This window comes from Homo sapiens, chromosome X (assembly GCF_000001405.40).
Source record: "Homo sapiens chromosome X, GRCh38.p14 Primary Assembly".
Classification (NCBI taxonomy): domain Eukaryota; kingdom Metazoa; phylum Chordata; class Mammalia; order Primates; family Hominidae; genus Homo; species Homo sapiens.
Genome location: NC_000023.11, coordinates 16,689,079 through 16,712,958, shown reverse-complemented (window position 1 = coordinate 16,712,958; position 23,880 = coordinate 16,689,079). Strand labels below are relative to the sequence as shown.

General features: G+C 45.5%; 1 protein-coding gene across 10 annotated transcripts in view, besides 2 other annotated features; it reads left to right on the top strand.

Annotated features, from left to right (window-relative positions):
• CTPS2 (CTP synthase 2) overlaps positions 49–23,880 on the top strand; it is a 124,912-nt gene continuing 101,080 nt past the window's right edge. For 2 of the 10 annotated variants that reach the window (XM_011545545.3, XM_047442262.1), the window contains exons 1-8: positions 3,119–3,235; positions 10,018–10,222; positions 13,866–14,036; positions 14,623–14,723; positions 19,472–19,588; positions 19,735–19,818; positions 21,339–21,419; positions 23,358–23,509. In XM_011545545.3, coding sequence (XP_011543847.1) covers positions 3,149–3,235; positions 10,018–10,222; positions 13,866–14,036; positions 14,623–14,723; positions 19,472–19,588; positions 19,735–19,818; positions 21,339–21,419; positions 23,358–23,509 — 998 coding nt within the window. In that variant the 5' untranslated portion in view covers positions 3,119–3,148. Of the gene's footprint in view, positions 238–289; positions 625–741; positions 1,447–3,118; positions 3,236–4,440; positions 4,541–5,461; positions 5,551–10,017; positions 10,223–13,865; positions 14,037–14,622; positions 14,724–19,471; positions 19,589–19,734; positions 19,819–21,338; positions 21,420–23,357; positions 23,510–23,880 lie in introns of those variants that run through there. The other 8 variants (XM_006724503.4, XM_047442260.1, XM_047442261.1 and 5 more) reach the window with 8 other exon arrangements.
• Positions 418–507: a silencer, noted in NCBI's record as "silent region_20679". NCBI's record gives its function as "represses an Ori minimal core promoter by ATAC-STARR-seq in GM12878 lymphoblastoid cells {active_cell/tissue: GM12878}" and the evidence as "EXISTENCE:reporter gene assay evidence [ECO:0000049][PMID:35858748]".
• Positions 568–837: a silencer, noted in NCBI's record as "silent region_20678". NCBI's record gives its function as "represses an Ori minimal core promoter by ATAC-STARR-seq in GM12878 lymphoblastoid cells {active_cell/tissue: GM12878}" and the evidence as "EXISTENCE:reporter gene assay evidence [ECO:0000049][PMID:35858748]".

Sequence of the window (23,880 nt, the reverse complement as noted above, 5' to 3'; positions counted from 1 at the left end):
CCAGACTGTGAGCTAGCTCCTCAAAGGCAGGCATTCTCTTTCCTTTTCCTTCTCTCCTGAGCGCTCCTGCAGTTCCTGGGGCGTAGTAGGGGATCCACAAGCGTTTGTGACCAGTGAAGTTCTTTACAAGGGTGAGATCTGCACGGGAGGACCCGAGCGAGGGTCTCGGCTTGCCAGGAAGCCGGGGTTCCCCGGGAAGCGTGGAGTTCACCCGCGCACTCGAAGTGCCTTTGCAAAGTGAGCCACGGGAGGGAGGAGCGGTCCCCGGGCTGGGCGAGGCCTGGGGCCCAGTGCGTCCAGAGCGGAGGGTGACGGGAGCTGCCTGTGCTGGAGGAATCACTTTTTAGGCGCTTGTTTTGGACCATTGCACAAACCCGGGTGCAAACCCCAAGCTCACCAGCGTGAGTGAGCTGGGCCAGCAGCAGGGAGGAGAGGGGAAGGTGGGCGAGGAGGGCGCCGCGCACCCCGAGGCCCGTGTGGGCGGTGGGAAGATCCCGGGGGCGGCTTTGGACAGCCCCGGCAGCGACCCCTTCCCCAGCCCGACAGGTGAGCGCCAGGCCAGCCGCGGGGTGGAGCCCGCCGTGCCCACCGGCCACCCTCCCCGGTGCTACCACCACCGCGCAGGTAACTTCCCTTCTGGGCCTGTCCCAGACCCCCAGGGCCTCGGCGCCCGGGCCATCCCTCGTCCCCAGGGCCTCTCCGCCCTGCACCCCCAGCCCCGGTGCACTTGTGGGGCCGGGCTCCTTTGTCCGCTCTCTGATGGCGCCGGCTCCCTGCCCAGCGCTGAGTCGGGTCCGGCCGCCAGCCCCGCGCTCGCAGACCTCGGCTGCCGGGTGTGGCGCGGGGACTGGGGAACGCTGGCCCGTGCCCAGTGCGGTTGGAGCCTGTCCCGCGCGTCCCCGGGACGCGCTTCTTCCCGCCTCCGCCCGCGCCAGCGCCCGCACCCGGATCCCCACTTCTCCCGGCCCTCGGGAGCCAGGAGAGCCCTGAGATGGCGTTGGCGGAAGTGAAGCCCCGAGCGGGGGTCTGCGAGGCTGGTGATCAGCGCCGGTAACATGGCCTTTCTGTCCTCTCCCCGGTCCCAGTGCACCCCTTAAACAACGACCCCCGCGTTTTCCCCGTACTAGATGGTTAGGGCGCATAGTGCCGAACTACGCTGCTGCTACAGAATAGCTTTTTTGGGGGCAACATAAAAAAGAATTGTATGTATGGTTTATATACAACAAAATGTCCCATTTTCAGTGTGCAAATCGACGGGATTTGACAAATTATACACTCCTGTAACCATTATCCCAAAGTGAACATTGACCATTTCCTTCACCCTGCAAAGTTCCCTGGTACCTCCTTTCTGTCAATCCACCCCAGGCCCCGCACTCAACCCCGGTTCTGATTGTTATCATAGCTTAGCTTTGACTGTTCTAGAACTTCATAGAACAAGATCATCAGGTAAGTACTCTTTTGTGTCTAACATTACTTTTTAAATGGCCATCACTGAGAAGGTGTCTCTGGGTGCTTCCGGTGCTTTTATTTGCTCTAGGCCTGCCTGGTCTAATGTGGGAGCCACTGGTCACATGTGGTTATTGAATACTGGAAATGTGGCAAAATCCGTACTGAGATGTGCTCTGAGTACAGGCACCTGATTTCTGAAAGCTTAGTACACAAAAAAGATGTCAAATATCTCACTAATACATTCTTACATTGTGCGTTAAAAGTGATAACATTTTTGGCTACATTGGGTTAAATAACATATATTAACATGAACTTCATTTGATTCTTTTTACTTTTTTAATATGGCTACTAGAAACTTAAAATTACGTACCTGGCTGTGTAATATTTTTTATTAGGTAGTGGAGACAGCACAGCTCTACACTGTGCTATCCTATAAACACTTGGTTCTGCTCACTGCATGTAAGAGTAAATGAAAAACTTGTCTTGACACCAGAAACAATCCTCAATGGAGGAAGTGATCTAAAACAGGGCCAGCCTTTCCCTGAACCTTTGAAACTTTGTTAAACTTACTTGTGTGCTTAAAAGAAGTAGAGGGCCGGGCATGGTGGCTCATGCCTGTAATCCCAGCACTTTGGGAGGCCGAGGTGGGCGGATCACGAGGTCAAGAGATCAAGACCATCCTGGACAACATGGTGAAACCCTGTCTCTACTAAAGATACAAAAATTAGCTGGGAATGGTGGCATGCACCTGTAGTCCCAGCTACTTGGGAGGCTGAGGCAGGAGAATTGCTTGAACCCGGGAGGCGGAGGTTGCAGTGAGCCCAGATCGTGTCATTGCACTCCAGCCTGGTGACAGAGCGCGACTCCAACTCAAAACAACAACAACAACAACAAAGTAGGAAGAATTAGGTGTCCCCTTGGTATTAAGTTGCATTTTTACAAAAGGTCTCTAAAATATCCAAGGTGCTTTAAAAAGGTATCTTGTGTTTTTGAAAAAACAGAAAATGAGCAATTGCTTATGTAGGGGAGGAAAGAGCTGATATCATAAGGGTCACGGCTGACAGCCTTAAACAAGAGACAGATTAACAAGAGAGAAGCATAATAATTTATTGAATCATAGGTTTATGTGACATGGGAGCCTTCAGAAATGAAAACCCCTTAAAGATGCAAGGGAAATGATCTGATTTTATGCTTGGAGTCCATGAAGCAGGGACAGATGAGCTAATGGAAATAGACTGAGTGGGGAAACCCAGCAAAGCCTGTCCACATTCTTCTTGGCCTCTCTGTTGTAGCGTTTCTTCCTCCCCAGTATGGGGTAGGACCTCTTTGGAATGAGGGTCTTAATTTCTTTATGGCCAGCTGTTGTATAGAAAGGTGGTTGAGAGGAAGGTTAGAGTCATATTTTTTGGCTTTATGGCTGGCTTTGGGGGGAAAAGGGTTCTAGTTTCTATGACTTGCCTTGGGGGAGTATGAGGGGTGAGAGACAGGAGGGCAGGAGAAGGTCAGAGAGAAACTTTGCTTCTGAGGCCTTCATTTTTGGGTTTTGTTTTCTGAGCCCCAACACATACAACCTAATCACCTAAATATATTAAGACATAACATGGTGTATCTTTGACCAAATTAAGATAGAAATCTGTTTTTTTTTTTTTTTTTTTTTTTTTGGAGACAGAGTCTCACTCTGTCACCAGGGTAGAGTGCAATGGCACGATCTTGGCTCATTGCAACCTTCACCTCCTGGGTTCAAGTGATTCTCCTGCCTCAGCCTCCCGAGTACCTGAGACTACAGGTGGGTGCCACCACGCCTGGCTAATTTTTGTATTTTTAGTAGAGACAAGGTTTAACCATGTTGGCCAGGATGGTCTTGATTTCTTGACCTTGTGATCCGCCCGCCTTGGCCTCCCAAAGTGTTGGGATTACAGGCGTGAGCCATTGCACCCGGCCATAAGATGGAAATCTTAGTGGTGACAAATAAAATTTAGATCTTAGTTTAAAAAAACATAGTCAATAATATATTCAATTTTATAGTCTGCTCTCTTTTTCAGGTAACATAAGCATTTTCTTTCTTCCTTTTTTTTTTTTTTTGAGACACGGTTTTACTTTGTTGCCCAGGTTGGAGGGCACTGGCACAATCTTGGCTCACTGCAACCTCCACCTCCCAGGTTCAAGCAATTCTCGTGCCTCAGCCTCCTGAGTAGCCGGGATTACAGGTGCACGCCACCACACCTGGCTGATTTTTTGTATTTTAGTAGAGATGGGGTTTCCCCATGTTGCCCAGGCTGGTCTCGAACTCCTGAGCTCAGGCAATCCGCCCGTCTTGGCCTCCCAAAGTGCTGGGATTACAGGCGTGAGCCACCGTGCCCGGCCACATAAGCATTTTCTTTTTTTTTAACTTTTTTTTTTGAGACGAAGTCTCGCTCTTGTCCCCCAGGCTGGAGTGCAATGGTGCTATCTGGGTTCACTACAACCTCTGCCTCCCGGGTTCAAGCGATTCTCCTGCCTCAGCCTCCCAAGTAGCTGGGATTACAGGCGCCTGCCACCACGCCTGGCTAATTTTTGTATTTTTAGTAGAGACAGGGTTTCACCATGTTGGCCAGGCTGGTCTCGAACTCCTGACCTCAGGTGATCCGCCTGCCTCAGCCTCCCAAAGAAGCATTTTCTTATACAAAAATTTATTAGGCATAATGTGACTTGTACGAATGTATGCCAGTTTTCTTCACCATACCTCTACGGCATTTTTCCATTTCGGTAACTTTTACAAAGAGAGTCATTTGAACAGTATAACAGTGCCAGAATAAGGTATAATTAAAGCACAGTTTATTTGCCCCTTAATCCTGCAGGAAAGGTGAAGTCCAGTGGAACATAGACCTTGTCTTTTTGTTTATCTCCATATTCCTAGGACTTGGAAATATGTCAAGCATGTAATAGATGTTCAAATAAACATTATATATGTAATATATGTATATATATAATTTATTTATTTATTTATTTCAGACGGAGTCTCACTCTGTTGTCCAGACTGGAGTGCAATGGTGTGATCTTGGCTCTGGGTTTGGATTGACAATGTTTTAAGCTATAAACATAGGTCAGATAGGTGGGTGCCCTGGTGACTAGTGAAGATGTGCGATGGCATTGAATGTGATCAACTGTGTTGTGTAGAGAAAGGTAGGCCCAGGGACTTAGGGAGGCCATCTGGGATGGAACATGTATATTTTGAATAGCTTCAGTTTACTCAGCCTGACCATGGTCAGCTAGTTCAAATGGAATTCACAGCTCTGACGTGTGATAACTTTAGTTAAGATAGTTTGTTTTGAAAGGTAAGCAGAGGAAACCACAAAATCAGAATGGGCATTCCTTTGAGGAGGACAAATAAGAAGTGGGTAACTGAAATTGTTCCTACCCGAATGCATTTGTGCTGAATTTCCAAGTATGTAAAAAAATTGTGAAATTACAAATGAAAGTGAAATTTATAGTTATTACCTTTTGTTAGTTACTGTCTCTCTCTCTCTCTCTTTTTATTTTTTCTTTTTTGGTACCGAGTCTCACCCTATTGTCCAGGCTGGAATGCAGTGGTGTGATCTCAGCTCACTGCAACCTCCGCCTCCCGGCTTCAAGTGATTCTCCTGCCTCAGCCTCCCATGCAGCTCATGTAGCTGGGACCACAGGCACACGCCACCACGCCCGGCTACTTTTTATATTTTTAGTAGAGACATTGTTTCGCCACGCTGACCAGGATGGTCTTGAACTCCTGACCTCAGGTGATCCGCCCGCCTTGGCCTCCCAAAGTGCTGAGATTACAGGCATGAGCCACCGCACCTGGTCTCTCTTTTTATTTTTGAGACAGGATCTTGCTTTGTCACCCAGGCTGGAGTGCAGTGGCACAATCACTTGGCTAACTGCAGCCTTGACCTCCTGGGCTCAAGCAATCCTCCTGCCTCAGCCTCCCCAGTAGCTGGGACTACAGGTGTGTGCCACCACACCTGGCTAATGTTTTATTTTTCTTTTGTAGAGAGGGAGTCTCACTATGTTGACCAGGTTGGTGTCGAACTTCTGACCTCAAGAGATCCTCCCACCTCAGCCTTCCAAAGTGTTGGGATTACAGATGTGAGCCACCATGCCTGGCATTATTTTTCTTTTTCTGTAACTGTAATTTTATATTGTGGTCTTACTCAGTTGCCCATTTGCCTGCCATGAGTACACAAATAATACTGTTTATGGTCTACTTTCACATACATGGTGAAATTACAAGAGCAGAAGGCCCCTGTACACACTCAAGGGAAAAACAATAGTACTCAAAGTAAAGAAAATCAAGTTATTGGGCTTCCTATAAAACAAAAGGGTTTGAATCAGAAAGCAGCAGAAAAGTCAAATAAATTTTCCTTATGACTGTCAACTTAAAAATCACAAGATCTATAAATTTAGAAAGGAGACTTTCTTTTTTAAAACATTTTCTTTTCTTTTTTTTTTTTTGAGACAGAGTCTCACTCTGTTGCCCAGGCTGGAGTGCAGTGGCGTGATCTCAGCTCACTGCAACCTCCGCCTCCCAGGTTCAAGTGATTCTCCTGCCTCAGCCTCCCGAGTAGCTGGGATTACAGGCGCATACTACCATGCTCGGCTAATTTTTGTTTGTTTGTTTGTTTGTTTTTTTTTTGAGACAGAGTTTCGCTCTTGTCACCCAGACTGGAGTGCAATGGTGCGATCTCAGCTCACTGCAACCTCCTCCACCCAGGTTCAAGCAATTATCCTGCCTGAGCCTCCTGAGTACCTGGGATTACAAGTGCCCACAACCACGCCCGGCTAATTTTTGTATTTTTAGTAGAGATGGGATTTCACCATGTTCGCCAGGCTGGTCTTAAACTGCTGACCTCAGGTGATCCACCCGCCTTGGCCTCCCAAAGTGCTGGGATTACAGGTGTGAGCCACTATGCCCAGCCTAACTTTTGTATTTTTTAGTAGAGACAGGGTTTCATCATGTTGGCCAGGCTGGTCTCAAACTCCTGACCTCAGGTGTTCCGCCTGCCTCAGCCTTCCAAAGTGCTGGGATTACAGGCATGAGCCATTGCACCTGGCCAAAATTTTTCTTACCTTTCGAGTCGGAGTCTCACTCTGTTGCCCAGACCGGAGTGCAGTGGCACGATCTGGGCTCACTGCAACCTCTGCCTCCCAGGTTCAAGTGATTCTCGTGCTTCAGCCCCGCAAGTAGCTGGGATTACAGGTGCCTGCCACCACACCTGGCTAATTTTTTATTTTTAGTAGAGACAGGGTTTCACCATGTTGGCCAGGCTGGTCTCGAACTCCTGATCTTAAGTGATCTGCCTGCATTGGCTGCCCAAAGTGCTGGGATTATAGGCGTGAGCCACTGTGCCTGGTGACTTTATTTCTTTTCTTTTCTTTCTTTCTTTTTTTTTTTTTGAGGCAGAGTCTTGCTCTGTCACCCAGGCTGGAGTGCAGTGGCACAATCTCGGCTCACTGCAACTTCCGCCTCCTGGGTTCAAGCCATTCTCCTGCCTCAGCCTCCCTAGTAGCCAGGATTACAGGTGTGCACCACCACACCCAGCTAATTTTTGTATTTTTAGTAGAGACAGGGTTTCACCATGTTGGTGAGGCTGGTCTCTAACTCCTGACCTCGTGATCCACCTGCCTCGGCCTCCCAAAGTGCTGGGATTACAGGGGTGAGCCACCACGCCTGGTTTACTTTATTTCTTTGCAGGCTGTAACAGCCTGCAAAGGGGCCATCCCACAGGCTGGGAAGCACACGTTTTAAAGAGACAGGGTCTCGCTATGTTGCCCAGGCTGTTCTCAAACTTCTGGCCTCAAGTGACCCTCCTACCTTGGCCTCCCAAAACCAGAGGCAGGCACTCTGAAGGAGGGTTCAGTTTTATGCTGAATGGGTTGGCTAAATATACATATTCAACAGGTTACAGGAGGAGCTATGAATATTCATGAAGGTGGTCCTGACTCATGTGTATTGAATAAACATGAAAATAGCATATGACCCCTGTTCACTTTGGGGATGGAGACTTAACATTTAAATGAATTTCAGTTAAGCCCTATGCATCAAAAGATCTTTCCAGGACATGAAGGCACGCAAGTCCACAGCCTCTGTAAACTGGCCAGAGCCAGTCCATGGTTGGTGGTCTTATCAGGAGAAAGTTACTCAAATCAGTCTCTTGTCCAATAAAAGCTGTAGTTTTGACTGGTGTAACAGGACTCAGTCAGTCAGCATCTGTGAGCTAGATGAGTTGTAATTATTTTAATATTGCTTATTTAAAAACAGTTTTTATTTTTTATTTTTTTGAGACAGAGTCTCGCTCTGTTGCCCAGGCTGGAGTGCAGTGAGCCACTGCACCTGGCAAGACTTTTTTTTTTAGAGTAATTTTAGGCTCACAGCAAAACTCAGTGGAAAGTACAGAGTTCCCATACACCCTCTCCCCCACTGCTATGCCCAGCCTCCCTGACTATTAACATCCTGCACCTGCAGAGTGGTACATTTGTTATAATCAGTGAACCTACATTGACGCATCATTTTTGCCTAAAGATCATAGGTTTTTGTTTTGTTTTTTTGAGACGGAGTTTCGCTCTCATTGCCCAGGCTGGAGTGCAATGGCCTGATCTCGGCTCACTGCAACCTCTGCCTCCCAGGTTCAAGCGATTCTCTCTTCCTCAGCCTTCGGAGTAGCTGAGATTACAGGCATGCACCACCACACCTGGCTAATTTTGTATTTTTAGTAGAGACGGGGTTTCTCCATGTTGGTCAGGCTGGTCTTGACCTCCCGACCTCAGGTGATCTGCCCGCCTCAGCCTCCCAAAGTGCTGGGATTACAGGTGTGAGCCACCGTGCCCGGCGGAAAGTCTGTAGTTTATTTACATCAGGGTTCGCTCTTCCTGTTGTCCATTCTGTGGGTTTGGATAAATGTGTAATGACATGTATCCATCATTACAGTATTATACAGAATAGTTTCACTGCCCTAAAATTCCTTTGTATTGTGACTATTCATCCCTCTCTCCCTCCTACCCGCTGACAACCACTGATCTTTTTACTATCTCTCTAGTTTTGCTTTTTCTAAAATGTCATATAGTTGAAGTCATACAGTATGTATGTTTTTCAGATTGGCTTCTTTCACTTGGTAATATGCACTTGAGATTCCTCCATGTTTTTTCATGGCTTGGTAGCCCATTTTTTTTTAACACCAAATTATATTCCTAGAGATTGTTGTATATTTTCCACTTTACAGATGAAGGAATAGGCACAGAAAGGATAAATAACTTGCCCAAGGCCGGGCGTGGTAGCTCACGCCTGTGATCCCAGCACTTGGGGAGGCCGAGGTGGGTGGTCACTTGAGACCAGGAGTTCGAGACCAGCCTGGCCAACATGGTGAAATCCCATCTCTACTAAAAATACAAAACTTAGCCCAGCATGGTGGTGCATGCCCGTAATCCCAGCTACTTGGGAGGCTGAGGCATGAGAATCATTTGGACCGGGGAGGTGGAGGTTGCAATGAGCCGAGATTGTGTCACTATACTCCAGCCTGGGCAACAGAGTGAGACCCTGTCTAAAAAAAAAGAAAAAAAAAAAAAAAAGAACTTGCCCAGGTACAGTTTGTACAGATCAGTCTGACACTGGAGTCTGAGCTCTTAAACATTTTAGCATGCCTGTGAATCCTAGAGAAATTTGGTTTATCATGATGAAGTTTGTTGCATGATAGAGTTGAGGTCTTTGGAAACCCAGGGCAACAGACCTAGGCACTTTGCTTGCAGAAGGTATCTACAGCTTTCTGTATAGTGACAACAATAAAAAGCCTAGAAGATAAGACTTTGTTTCAAAAAATTCAAGTATTTAGTTTGGACAGAAAACTGCTGTGTGCTTTTGAAATTTTGGTGAGACGAAGCATGGTGGCTCACTTTTGTAATCAGCATCTTGGGAGGCCAAGGCAAGAGGATTGCTTGAGCCCAGGAGTTTGAGACCAGCCAGGGCATCATAGTAAGAACCTGTCTTTACAAAAATGTTTTAAGAATTAGCTGGGAGACGTGGCACGTGCCTGTAGTCCCAGCCACTCTGGAGCCTGAGGCAAGAGGATTGCTTGAGCCCAGAAGTTCAAGGTTGCAGTGAGCTATGAACATGCCACTGCACTCCAGCCTGGGTGACATAGGGAGACACTGTCTCTTAAAAAAAAAAAAAAATTCTGAGCTAGGTGCGGTGGCTCATGCCTGTTATCCCAGCACTTTGGGAGGCTGAGGCAGGTGGATTGCTTGAGCTCAGGAGTTGGAGACCAGCGTGGGCAACATGGTGAAACTCCGTCTCTACAAAAAACCCACAAAAATTAGCAGGGCGTGGTGGTGCTCACCTATAGTCCCAGTTACTAGGATGCTGAGGTGGGAGGATCGCTTGAACCCAGCGAGCAGAGGTTACAGTGAGCCATGATTGCACCACTCACTGCATTCCAGCCTGGGTGACAGTAAGACTATGTCTAAAAAAAAAAAAAAAAAAAATTAATTCTGGTTGAATACACTGTCTGCTTTACTAGTTTTAAATATTTCTCTTTCCTTATCCATAATTTTATTGCCTTTCAGATTATATCTGGGTGTTGGCACCCAGCCACTATTCTGCCAATGAAGTACATCCTGGTCACGGGTGGGGTCATCTCAGGCATTGGTAAAGGGATCATTGCCAGCAGCATTGGAACGATTCTAAAATCATGTGGACTCCGAGTTACTGCCATAAAAATCGACCCCTATATTAACATCGATGCTGGCACTTTTTCACCTTATGAACACGGTACGAAAGTGAACCACTTCCCCCTTATAGCACTAGGCTCAACTGCATTCTTTCTTCCATTTTGGGTAATTTCTTTAGGATGTAGTTCCAGATTTAGAGTGACTAGATCGTATGCTATGAATATGTGAATTTTCTCATGGTCATTGATACATTGTTCATACCTCTGATGACATTCCAAATTAATCATCCCTTTTGGAAACATTGTATCTTTTGCACTACAGATTCTGTTTTATTTTTAACATAAAGGTAGTGTGTTTCTCTTAACATTTCCCACTGCCTGGAGTAACTATTATTAATGGTGACATTTTGATGTATGAGTATATTTGATTTATTTTTAAAATGGCATTAGCCCTTACATGCTATTTTTAAAAAACTTTTTATAAGGCCCAGTGCGGTGGCTCATGCCTGTAATCCCAGCACTTTGGGAGGCCGAGGCAGGTGGATCACGAGGTCAGAAGATCGAGACCATCCTGGCTAACACAGTGAAACCCTGTCTCTACTAAAAATACAAAACATTAGCTGGGCGTGGTGGCACGTGTCTGTAGTCCCATCTACTCAGGAGGCTGAGACAGGAGAATCACTTGAACCTGGCAGGCGGAGGTTGCAGTGAGCCAAGATCGAGCCATTGCACTCCAGCCTGGGCGACAGAGCGAGACTCTGTCTCAAAACAAACAAACAAACAAACAAACAAAAACAACAAAAAACCAACCCCCAAAAAAACCTTTTTATATACAAGCAAAAAAGTGCATAAATCATAAGTGTACAGTTGGATGAATTTTCATTAAATGAACACACTGTGTAACCAGCCCCTGATCAAGAAACAGAAATGTTCATGTCCTGCCGGGCGTGGTGGCTCACGCCTGTAATCCTAGCACTTTGGGAGGCTGAGGCGGGCGGATCACGAGGTCAGGAGATCGAGACCGTCCTGGCTAACACGGTGAAACCCCGTCTCTACTAAAAATACAAAAATTAGCCGGGCGCGGTGGCGAGCGCCTGTAGTCCCAGCTACTCGGGAGGCTAAGGTGGGAGAATGGCGTGAACCCAGGAGGCGAACTTGCAGTGAGCCGAGATTGCGCCACTGCACTCCAGCCTGGGTGACAGAGTGAGACTCCATCTCAAAAAAAAAAAAAATGTTTGTGTCCCTTGTTGCTATCCTGTCTTCCTGTTTTTGTTTTTTGAGACAGGGTCTCACTCTATCGCCCAGGCTGGAGTGCAGTGGCCAAGATCTCGGCTCAATGCAACCTCCACCTCCTGTGCTCAAGTGATCCTCCTGCTTCAGTCCCCTGGGTAGCTGGGATTACAGGTGTGCACCACCACACCTGGCTAATTTATGTAATTTTTTTATAGAGCTGGGATTTCGCCATGTTACTTAGGCTGGTCTCGACCTCCTGGGCTCAAGCAATCCTCCTACCTCGGCCTCCCAAAGTGGTGGTATTACAGGCATGAGCCACTGCAACAGGCATGAGCCACTGCACCAGGCCTTGAATATCGTGTTTTAAACTTTACTAACCTGAGAATAAAACAAACAAAAAGAGGGTATCTTATTGTTTTAATTTAGAGTTCTTTGATTTTGATTTTGTTTGTGAATGACTTATTCAAGTCTGTGGTAGATTGTATTTTTGCTTCAAAATGTTACCCACCATCCCTCTGTGGAGTACATTTCCCTGCCCTTTGACCTTGGAGTTTGGCCACGTAGGATAGTTAACTTGTCCTGGTTTGTTTGGAATGTTCCTGATTTTAAAACAGAAAGTCCTGTGTCCTGGGAGCCCTCTTAGTCCTGGGCAAACCAAGCAGGTTGGTCACTCTATTTGGCCATGTGATTTATTTTGTCCTATGGGATGTTAGGGAATATTAACATATGCCTTGTTGAAGCAGAAAATGTCAAATGCATCTGTGTGGTTTGGCTCAGTCTGTCTTGTGCTTCTGCCCTCTACCATGAGAACAGCCTGGTTTTCAGAGATTTCTCGTTCAGTCTGGGTCCTGGAATGAGAAGACACAAAGAATAGACTCACAAGTGACTCATAGCCCCCATGTAACATGAGGGAGAAATAAATAAATGTTTTGTAAGTTGCAGAGATTTTGGGGTTGTTTGTTGTGTGGCACCATTGACTAATGCCATGTGTTACACCAAATTTTCTTTGGATTTTTTTTTAATGATTTTTTTTTTCTTTTTTTGAGACAGAGTCTCACTCTGTCGCCCAGGCTGGAGTGCAGTGGTGTGACCTCGGCTCACTGCAACCTCCGCCTCCCAGGTTCAAGCGATTCTCCTACCCAGCCTGGCAAACATGGCGAAACTCTGTCTCTATTTAAAAAAATAATAGGCCGGGCACGGTGGCTCACGCCTGTAATCGCAGCATTTTGGGAGGCTGAAGCAGGTGGATCACGAGGTCAGGAGATGGAGACCATCCTGGCCAACATGGTAAAAACCTGTCTGTACTAAAAATACAAAAAAATTAGCTGGGTGTGGTGGTGCACACCTGTAATCCCAGCTACTCAGGAGGCTGAGGCAGGAGAATTGCTTGAACCAGGGAGTCAGAGGTTGCAGTGAGCCGAGATCGCACCACTGCACTCCAGCCTGGCGATAGAGTGAGACCCTGTCTCAAAATAATAATAATAATAATAATGGTAATACAAAGATTAGCCAGGCGTGGTAGTACATGTCTGTAATCCCAGCTACTTGGGAAGCTGAGACATGAGAATTGCTTGGATCCAGGAGGCGGAGGTTGCAGTGAGCTGAGATCACGCCACTGCACTCCAGCCTGGTTGACAGCGAAACTCTGTCTCAAAAAAAAACATTGAAAAAAAAAATTGAAAAAAAAAGTATTGTGATATCAATTTGCTTTTTTCCTTAAAATTAATTTTCTAGACCACAGTTATGTACCTTAGAATGGATAAATAAATTAGGATATAAAAGGCTTCTGATTAAATTTGTAAGTTAATCAACCTTTTTTCCTGTGGACATCTAACAGTAGGAATAAATGATAGTTCCCTTAATAGGGGAAAGGTTCAATTCTTACAAGGTGGCTTTAGAAACATACGACTCTCAGTCCATGCCCTGAAGTGACAATAGAGATCTACAGACGTGTCTAGTAGTTAAAGTTGGTGCTCCTCGTGTGACGAAGTCTGCACCTGTCTTTTATGACAGTGCATTGTGCACGTAGCTTATGGCACACACAGGCTTTTTCCCTCACTTTCACCAAGTTGCCTTATGGGTTAGCTGTGGCCTTGCTTTGTCATCTACTGTCTAATTATGGCTTTAATCAAGATGAGAATCAAGTAAAAGTTTCTTATCGCAGTTCCAGAGTCCAGGATACTGATGCTTTGAAGTAAAATGCTGTTTGTTTTTAAAATTTCTGTTTTCATGTCTTTTTTATGTGGCATATGTTGAGTTTGGAAAAGCTAAATCTTGAAGACAGAATTTCAGTAGATTAAAAAAAAACCACAATAGAATATTATAAATAGAATTTTCTGATGCATTTTCTTGGATATAATTGAATTGTTAATATCTCCACCAAAAAGGAGATGGTGATAGAATATGGCTTACAAATACATCTTTTACCAGCTTTTTAACAAAAATATGTCCATCTTTGAAAAATCTACTGGAAGCAAAGTTTTGATTTTTCCATTGCCTTTTTAATCCTAGGTGAAGTCTTCGTCTTAAATGATGGTGGAGAAGTTGATTTAGACCTTGGAAATTATGAAAGATTTTTGGATATTAATCTTTATAAAGACAACAATATCACCACGGGGAAGATATATCAGCATGTGATCAATAAAGAGAGGCGTGGTGATTACCTGGGGAAAACAGTGCAAGGTATTATATTCCACAGACATTATGGAGCCCTGTGTGCTGAATATCTTTGTACTGCTCAAAAGTAGAACTGAAGGCCGGGCACGGTGGCTCAGGCCTGTAATCCCAGCACTTTGGGAGGCTGAGGCCAGTGGATCACCTGAGGTCAGGAGTTCGAGACCAGCCTGACCAACATGGTGAAACCCCATCTCTACTAAAAATACAAAAATTAGCCAGGCATGGTGGCGCATGCCTGTAATCCCAGCTATTCGGGAGGCTGAGGCAGGAGAATTGCTCGAACCCAGGAGGCAGAGATTGCAGTGAGCCGAGATCGTGCCACTGCACTCCAGCCTGGGCGACAGAGTGAGACTCCATCTTAAAAAAAAAAAACAAAACAAAGCCAAAAAAACCAAGTAGAACTGAAAATGTCACAGTCCCTGCGCTCTACAAGTTCTAATTCTTTTAAAATTGTTGCGTTTTTTTCTTTTCATTTTCCAAAAATATGTCAGGGTAACTTGCCAGGTGACTTTCAGGTGATTGGGGAGGCCTAAAGCACATTCTTTTCTCATGAGCATGGAATAAACTTTTGTATTAATACTTCTTTCTACAGTTGTCCCTCACATTACTGATGCTGTCCAGGAGTGGGTTATGAATCAAGCCAAGGTGCCGGTGGATGGTAATAAGGAAGAGCCCCAAATATGCGTTATTGAGGCAAGCATAGAACTTTCTTTATAAAATTATATCCTGCTGGGTCTTTGAGCATCTGATCTTCATTTATTTGACAAATACTTACACACGCCCTCCTGAGTGCTGGACACTGGGCTAGGAGGTGGGGTCACAGCAAGAAACAACATAGATGGCTTCTGTCTTTGTGGTCACAAGTGAGTGGGCAAGATTGGCATTAGACAGACAATCACACCTACTCCTGGGTGGACGTGCAGTGATCTGCTTGTGGAGACTGATCAGCTGCTGATAAAGTCAATGTGAGGGCCTCTTCTGTGCCGGGGCCTGGGATGGGCACAGTCTCTGACCTTGGGGAGCTTGCAGACAACCCTGTCTACACACAACAGACTGCATTCTAGTGCATACTATTTGAAAAGTATTTCCGAAGTGCTTTGGAAGTGTAAAGAGACACTGGGTTAGGGAAGTCAGATGGTAGCGGTGATAAGTGATTAGTATCAGCTGTTTAAAGAAAGAAGCTAGTGGCTGCGCGAGGTGGCTCATGCCTGCAATTCCGGCATTTTCAGATGCCAGGGTGGGAGGATTGCTTGAGTCCATGAGTTTGAGACAGCCTGGGCAACATGGCGAAAACCCGTCTCTACAGAGACTACAAAGATTAGCTAGGCATGTTGGTACGCACCTGTAGTCCCAGCTACTTGAGAAGGTGAGATGGGAGGATCTTTTGAGCCCGGGAGGTTGAGGCTGCAGAGAGCAGTGATTGCACCAGCACTTCAGCCTGGGTGATGGAGCCAGACCCTGTCTTAATTTAAAAAAAAAAAAAAAAAAAAAAAAAAGTCGTATTTGAACTTGCCACTTGTTTACTTCCTTCACCTTGTTCCCTTCCTCTCCACGTGCAGAATGACAATAACATCCATATCCTCCTCCTCTAAATGTCAGTTGGCTTAATTGCCGGGCGAAAGAGCAGAATAATGACCAATTTGGTTCTTAGAGTCAGGCTGCCTCAGTTTGTATTTCTGCAGTGACCCCTGAGCCACGTATAGCTCAGTGATTAAGAGTCTGGAGGCAAACTGTCTGGGTTTGTAGCCTAGCAAGGTCACTTATGGGGAGGAGGGGGTGACCTTGGGCAAGTTTGCTCAACCTCTCTGTGCCTCTTTAACTCATTTAACTCATTTGTAACTCATTGTTTTGAAGATTAAATAAGTCTCTACACTTAGTGCTTAGAATGGTGTCACAGATATAGTAAGTGCTTAAAAATTATTAGCTATTATTAAGATGCCTGTATGACTTTTGGAAAATTCTCACAGTTTCAACGTCCTCATTTGTAATAATGTAATAATATAATATTATAATAATAAGATAATAACAGGATTGGGGATTAAATGCAATGTATCAGAGCACTTTGCAATGTCTGGCATTTAGGAAGTGCTCAGTGAACATAAGTTAGCTATTATTATTGTCATCAATGTAAGTGTTAGCAGATATCATGATATGTAGAAGATCCATTTTGTTAATAGTAGAACTGATAAAGTTACTGGCTATTTATTTTTTATAGATAGGGTCTCGCTATGTTGCCTCGGGCTGGAGTGCAGTAGCTATCCACAGGTGCGATCAAAGCCCACTGCAGCCTCAAACTTCTGGGCTCAACCAATCATCTTGCCTCAGCCTCCCAAGTAGCTGGGACTACAGTGTACCACCACTATGCCTGGCAAATTTTTAATTTTATTTCTTATTCTACCCTTGAATTGACTTGTCTTCACAATGATTAATTTAGCACTTAATATGTACTAGCCCTGATGATAGCTGCTAAGGATGTGAGGTTGAGTGTGATCTGACTCCTGCTCTCCAGGAGCTCATTGGCTGGATTTTAAATTTCATGGAAACAGGGAAACTGACAAACAGAACCCCTTCTCCGTTATAACCCTGATGTTTATATTTGCTTATTGGATACTAGTGGTCAACCATCCTCTTTGGTTGATTGTAAGTTGTGTTCAACAGTTGTGTCTGTGCACCATTTAAGCTTTTGAAGAAGGACTGCCAAAGCTGATTTTTAGTTTTAATCATAGAGGAGCTGTTGAAATGTCTTCAAAGCCATTTTTATGAGTGAGACCTCAACTTCTCATACCAGTGGAGCTGACAGGTTTTATTTATATTAGTACGAGTTATCTTGGCATGAACCTGAAATAATTTATGCTTGTCTTAAAGGAATAACAGTTTTCTTTCTTCTTGTTTATTTTCCAAAAAAGAAGACTCAGCCAAGTGTGGTGGTGCAGGTCTGTAGTCCCAGCTACTTGGGAGGCTGAGGCAGGAGGATCATTTATACCCAGGAGTTTGAGGCCGCAGTGAGCCATGATCTCACTACTGCACTCCAGCCTGGGTGGCAGAGCGAGACTCTGTCTTTAAAAAAAATTTAAAAAGGGCCGGGTGTGGTGGCTCACGCCTGTAATCCCAGCACTTTGGGAGGCTGAGGCGGGTGGATCACGAGGTCAGGAGATCGAGGCCATCCTGTCTAACACGGTGAAACCCCGTCTCTACTAAAAATACAAAAAATTAGCCGGGCGTGGTGGTGGGCGCCTATAGTCCCAGCTACTCAGGAGGCTGAGGCAGGAGAATGGCGTGCACCCAGGAGGCGGAGCTTGCAGTGAGCCGACATCGCGCCATTGCACTCCAGCCTGGGCAACAGAGCGAGACTCCATCTCAAAAATAAATAAATAAATAAATAAAAATAAAAAAAGAAAAAGAAAAAAGACTTTCATTAAAGACAAAGGCAAAAACAACTTTGCACATCTCATAAATTTGCTGCTGCTTCCATTTCAGCATAAAGTATTGTTATAGGTGATATTTTCCCTTTTATCTGGGGCAACAGTTAACTTCAAACTATTCCAGTAGTAATATTGAAGGTTTCTGAACACGATAATGTGGGTGACCTAGAGGTATGGTAATGGGAACTTCTGAATTAGCAGGGAGACTGTAGTACCGCTGCTGACCACGTGAGGGCAGAAGCTGATAATGTTTGAAGTTGGCCTCCTTTTGGCATTCACTATTATTGACCCCCCAGAGAATCCCCATCAAAACACAAGATGGAAGCACACGGTTTAGTTTAAGTGCAGACCTCTGGTTTTCCTTAGAAAAAATAAATGATTTTCAAAAATTAGATTTTGGTGCCTTGTATTTAGTGGGTACTTACACTCACTTCACCCCTGCCAAGTTCCTGATTGCATGTGATGTTTTCATTTCGTTGAGTTGTTGTTGTTGTTGTTGTTGTTTTTTAAAGAGACAGTGTCTTACTCTGTTCCCTAGGCTGGAGTGCAGTGGTATGATCATGACTCACTGCAGCCTGGACTTCTCCAGGCTCAAGCGATCCTCCCACCTCAGCCTCCTGAGTGGCTGGGACCATAGGCGCCGTGCCGCCATGCCCAGCTAATTTTTTATGTTTTTGTGGAGGCAAGGTCTCACTTTGTTGCCCATGCTGGTCTCAAACTCCTGTGCTCAAGTGATACACCTGCCTCCCAAAGTGTTGGGATTACAGGTGTGAGCCACTGCACCCAGCCCTGGCTTTGGTTCTGCTGTAATTTTGGTAACAGGTACTAGAACACTGTTCCTTAGGGCTTATATTGAATTTCAGGACCTTTCTGTCCTGGCCCGACTACTAAACTAAACCTCCAGTGCTGCATGCAGGGTACTGGGCTCATGCCCTCATGGGGCTTACAGTCTAGTGGGGTAGAGAGCCAGGAAACAAAGACGGAAATGAAATAGAGGCAACTTGTGCTGAATTCCTAGGATGGGTACAGTGCTGTGACAAGGGCTAGTGGGATATAGGCTGCTTTAGGTGGGGGGTCAGAGTCTGCCCTCCAAGGAGGGTCAGAGTCCGCCCTCCAAGGAGGATGCATCTCTCTTGGACTGGAGGATAAAGAGGTTGCTGTAGATGAAGAAGGAGGGTAGGAGGGCTTAAGGAGCAGGAAGGAAGAGCATGGAGTACCCAAGAGGCCAGCGGGGAGGGGACCAGATGGCATTGGAGACTCAGTGCAAGGGCCAGGTCCTGAGAGCCTTTTGTTGGCTGCATTAAGGAGATTTGATGCTAGTTTTTTGTTTTTGTTTTTGTTTTGAGATGGAGTCTCGCTCTGTCGCCCAGGCTGGAGTGCAACGGTGTGATCTCGACTCACTGCAACCTCTGCCTCCTGGGTTCAAGCGATTCTCCTGCCTCAGCCTCCCGAGTAGCTGGGACTACAGGTGTGCCCCACCACGTCCAGCTAATTTTTGTATTTTTAGTAGAGACAGGGTTTCACCATGTTGGCCAGGATGGTCCCGATCTCCTGACCTGTGATCCGCCCGCCTCGGCCTCCCAAAGTGCTGGGATTACAAGCATGAGCCACTGCGCCTGGCCTTATTGTTAGTTTTAATGAAGCAATGGGCTACTGAAGAGTATACACGTGGAGAAATCTTTTTTGAAGTTTTATTTTTTATTTTTATATTTTTTCAGAGAAAGGGTCTCGCTCTGTCATCTAGGCTGGAATGCAGTGGGATGATCATGACTCACTGCAGCCTTGACCTCCTGGGCTCAAGTGATCCTCCTGCCTTGGCCTCCCAAAGCGCTGGGATCATAGGTGTGAGCCGCCATACCCAGCCACAATTTAGTGATTTTGAACGTATTTATAAACCTCTGTGTAACCATCAAACTTTAGTTCTCATGCTCGGTTTATTAAGAACTCTTTTTATTAGCTTGTGTACTGTGGGAGATGTGTGGTCATTTGTGTCTTTTTTTGTTTGTTTTCCATTCCCAGCTGGGAGGCACCATTGGAGACATCGAAGGAATGCCGTTTGTGGAGGCGTTTAGACAATTCCAGTTTAAGGCGAAAAGAGAGAATTTCTGTAATATCCACGTTAGCCTTGTCCCACAGGTGGGCTTTCCAGATAAGTATGTGGACAGCAACTTTGATAAGTTTTCCTATGATATTCTATGTGTCCTGCATTTGAAAGTGGGGCACCATTAATCATCCATAGGAGCTAGTGTCCAGTGTGCTGACGGGACCCCATTTTTTTTCAGCTCAGTGCTACCGGAGAACAAAAAACCAAACCCACCCAAAACAGCGTCCGCGCACTGAGGGGTTTAGGCCTGTCTCCAGATCTGGTGAGTTGAGGACAGTGGGTAAGTCTATCCTGAAGGTCTCTGGGAGCAGGACCTTCACTTCTTTTTTTTTTTTTTTTTTAATTTGAGACGGAGTCTTGCTCTGTCACCCAGGCTGGAGTGCAGTGGTGCAGTCTTGGCTCATTGCAACCTCCGCCTCCTGGGTTCAAGCGATTCTCCTGTCTCAGCCTCCAGAGTATCTGGACTACAGGCACATGCCACCACACCTGGATAATTTTGGTATTTTTAGTAGAGACAGAGTTTTGTCATGTTGGCTAGGCTGGTCTTGAATTCCTGACCTCAGGTGATCCGCCCGCCTCAGCCTCCCAAAGTGCTTGGGATTACAGCCAAGAGCCACCATGCCTGGCTGCCCTTCACTTCTTTATCTTTATCATCATCTAAGTCCTTTCTCATTCTCAAACGGCTCCTGTGACAATGAGGTTTTTCTATCTGGGAGCCGGAAAAGGCTTATTCCCTTAGCCTCAAGTGTTGCTTCAATCTGTTCTTCCCTAGGCTCTCATTTGATGGGCCACATTGATAGTTGGGCAAGTGTGATGTCCTGTCATTTATATGATTCCTGGATTCTTTAGAATGAAGGTGAAACCTTGGGATTTTCCTGTGACCCTGCTATCAATGATAACCCTGTGATGGGTTATCACTGCTCTTTTTTTCTTTTTGAGACGGGGTCTGGCTCTGTTGCCCAGGCTGGAGTACAGTGGTGTGATCTTGGCTCACTGCAACCTCTGCCTCCTGGGCTGAAGTGATTCTCCCACCTCAGCCTCTTGAGTAGCTGATACTAGAGGTGCACGCTACCACAGCGCACTAATTTTTGTGTGGTGTGTGTGTGTGTGTGTGTGTGTGTTTGTAGAGACAGGGTTTTGCTATGTTACTGAGGCTGGTCTCGAACTCCTGGGTTCAACCAATCCTCCTGCCTTGGCCTCCTAAAGTGCTGGGATTGCACCACGCCCAGTCCGCTGCTCTTATTTTTAGTCTAAACAGTGATGTGTCCTTATAGCAGGTGATCCAGTCATCACCAGTAGTCTCTGTCAGAGGTTGACAAATAACAGCCCACAACTTGCTTGCCTGTTTTTGTAAGTAAAGTTTTATTGGCATGCAGTCACACCCATTCATTTACATATTGTCTGTAGCTGCTTTCACACTGCACCTCAATTGAGGATCAGGACAGTGACTGTGTCACCTGCAAACCTAAAATATTTCCCATCTGGCCCTTTTGAGAAAAAGTTTGTTAACCCCGATCTAGCTCTTTTCTTGTAGTTAATGAAGCAACACTTGTGAGCCTGGACTCTGTTCACCAGAGACGTCTCGATGTTTCGAGTTCTTACTGATACACTTATGCTGAATTTGATTATACTTATATTAGTGCTCAGACCAATTTCTAATAGTCCAGTGGAATGTCCAAAGTGAACAAGTACATACTTGGCCAAGTTTCTTGTAAAAAGAAATGAATGTGGCATCCTGCTGAAAGTGAATCCTGTTTGCTGAAGCATAACTGGCTTTGACAGATTGTCTGCCGAAGTTCAACGCCCATTGAGATGGCCGTGAAGGAGAAGATTTCTATGTTTTGTCACGTGAACCCTGAACAGGTTGGTGCTGCTCTTTAGATTTTATTGTCTGGCAGGCACTTCTGCTGATGCCAGTGTTTTGTACCTCTTCAATGATCATATTACTTTTCACGGCATTTATGCAAGCACTGGGGAACCCTGATCCAACCATGATTCCCTAGCCCTTAAGTGAGATAGGATGCATGTTTCTTTGCATGATCACTCAACTTATGTCACAAAACCAGGGTGGGCTTTCTTTTCTTGAGACAGAGTGTCACTCTGTCACCCAGGCTGGAGTGCAGTGGCATGATCTCAGCTCACCGCAACCTCTGCCTCCTGGGTTCAAGCAATTCTCTTATTTTAGCCTCCTGAGCAGCTGAGATTATAGGCATGCGCCACCACGCCTGGCTAATTTTTTTGTATTTTTAGTAGAGATGGGGTTTTGCCATGTTGGCCAGGCTGGTCTCGAACTCCTGACCTCAGATGATCCGCCCGCCTCAGCCTCCCATAGTGCTGGGATTACAGGCGTGAGCCATCGTGCCCAGTACCAGGGTGGGTGTTTAACTCACAGTCAAACCTCTAGAGAGAGAACCACATGAAGCCTACTTATCATCTCTTTATCTTGTGTTTCCTTCTGGAACACTTACTGCTTTCACTCATTTCTCCTCTCTACCTGTGGCAGCTTAAGTCACCCCAAACACACGAGCACGTTGACATTCGCACTAGCTCTTCTGACTCCATCAGTGGGCTCAGTTGACTTCATTGGTACAGAAACTGTACTGTGATTTGGGCTTAGGTTCTCTGCTCTGTAGGGCTTTCCACCTTGGTATTCTGATAATTCGCTTTTCTTTTTTCTTTCCTTCTCTCATCTCTGTCTCTTGATTCCAATAAGGCTTGGTTATAAGGGATTGGAGTTACCTATAGTTTAAAGAGAGTGATATAAATGGTGCTCAGGAAAAGGGTGAGGTTTGGCAGAAATCTTTTCTTCAGATTATAACTCTGGGTTCTCTGAAGTCTAAAAATGATCAAATTGAATTTTGGCATCTTGGAAAATAGTCTGATGGAGAGCCCCCTGCCTGATGCCTCAGAGTCATTGCCGAAGTCTGAACTACTTTGAAAAATGTGATGGCAGATTGAAGGGACACTTCTGCATCTGTATGTTGATATGTTGTCATGCCATTTTGTTTGCGTCCAATCTTTTTTTTTTTTTGAGACAGAGTTTCACTATTGTCACCCAGGCTGGAATGCAGTGGTGCACTCTTGGCTCAGTGCAACCTCTGCCTCCTGGGTTCAAGCGATTCTCCTGCCTCAGCCTCCTGAGTAGCTGGGATTATAGGTGTGTGTCACCATGCCTGGCTAATTTTTGTATTTTTAGTAGAGATGGGGTTTCACCATGTTGGCCAGGCTGGTCTTGAACTCCTGACCTCAGATGATCCGCCTGCCTCAGCCTCCAAAAGTGCTGGAATTACAGGCGTGAGCCACCACACCTGACCTGTCCAATCGTTTTGTGTACACTTCTTTTTTTTTTTTGAGATACAGTCTTGCTCTGTCACCCAGGCTGGTATGCAATGGTGCGATCTCGACTCACTGCAACCTCCGCCTCCTGGGTTCCAGCGATTCTCCTGCGTCAGCCTCTTGAGTTGCTGGGATTATAGGCACATGTCACCATGCCCAGCTAATTTTTGCATTTTTAATACAGGTGGGGTTTCACCATGTTGGTCAGGCTGGTCTCGAACTCCTGACATCAGGTGATCTGCCCGCCTCGGCCTCCCATAGTGCTGGGATTAGTTTTCTAATTAAATGAAGCTAACCTTGTGCAAATTCTGATGCTAGCTTTGGTTGCTGGGTTTTTGTGTGTGCGTGTGTGTGTGTTATATCAGTGTAAATAAACTGCCAGTCTCTGCTGAATTTTGTTTCATTCTTGTGGTGGCATATTTGAATAGATCCATCTAAGTATGGTGATTTCTCATCGCCACTTAGGTCATATGTATCCATGATGTTTCTTCCACATACCGAGTTCCTGTGCTTTTAGAGGAACAAAGCATTGTGAAATATTTTAAGGAGAGATTGCACCTGCCCATCGGTGATTCTGCAAGTAATTTGCTTTTTAAGTGGAGAAATATGGCTGACAGGTAAGCGAAAGGAATTACTTGTATAATCTTTAATAATTTTTGAGTTTGGGGGTAGAACTAAGACCTACTTGAAAGGGTAAGCGTGTGTATTTGGCATTTTGCGTGTGCACATTTTGGTCTGGATATGTCTAAAGATGGAGCATACTGTTGCGGTGCTTTGCTGTATTATTTGAAGATTTCTGGAGCCTTTGATTTTGTTATACATAAACCAAAGTGAATTAAAGGAATTCGAATTCTGGAAGGAATGTTTTTTTAGCTCTGGAAGGATTCTGATTTATTTGATTTATTTGCTAGTTCATTTTTTAGTTTCTGAATATTTAAAATTTTTTTTTGTTTGTTTTCTTTTTTCTTTTTTGAGAGTCTTGCTCTGT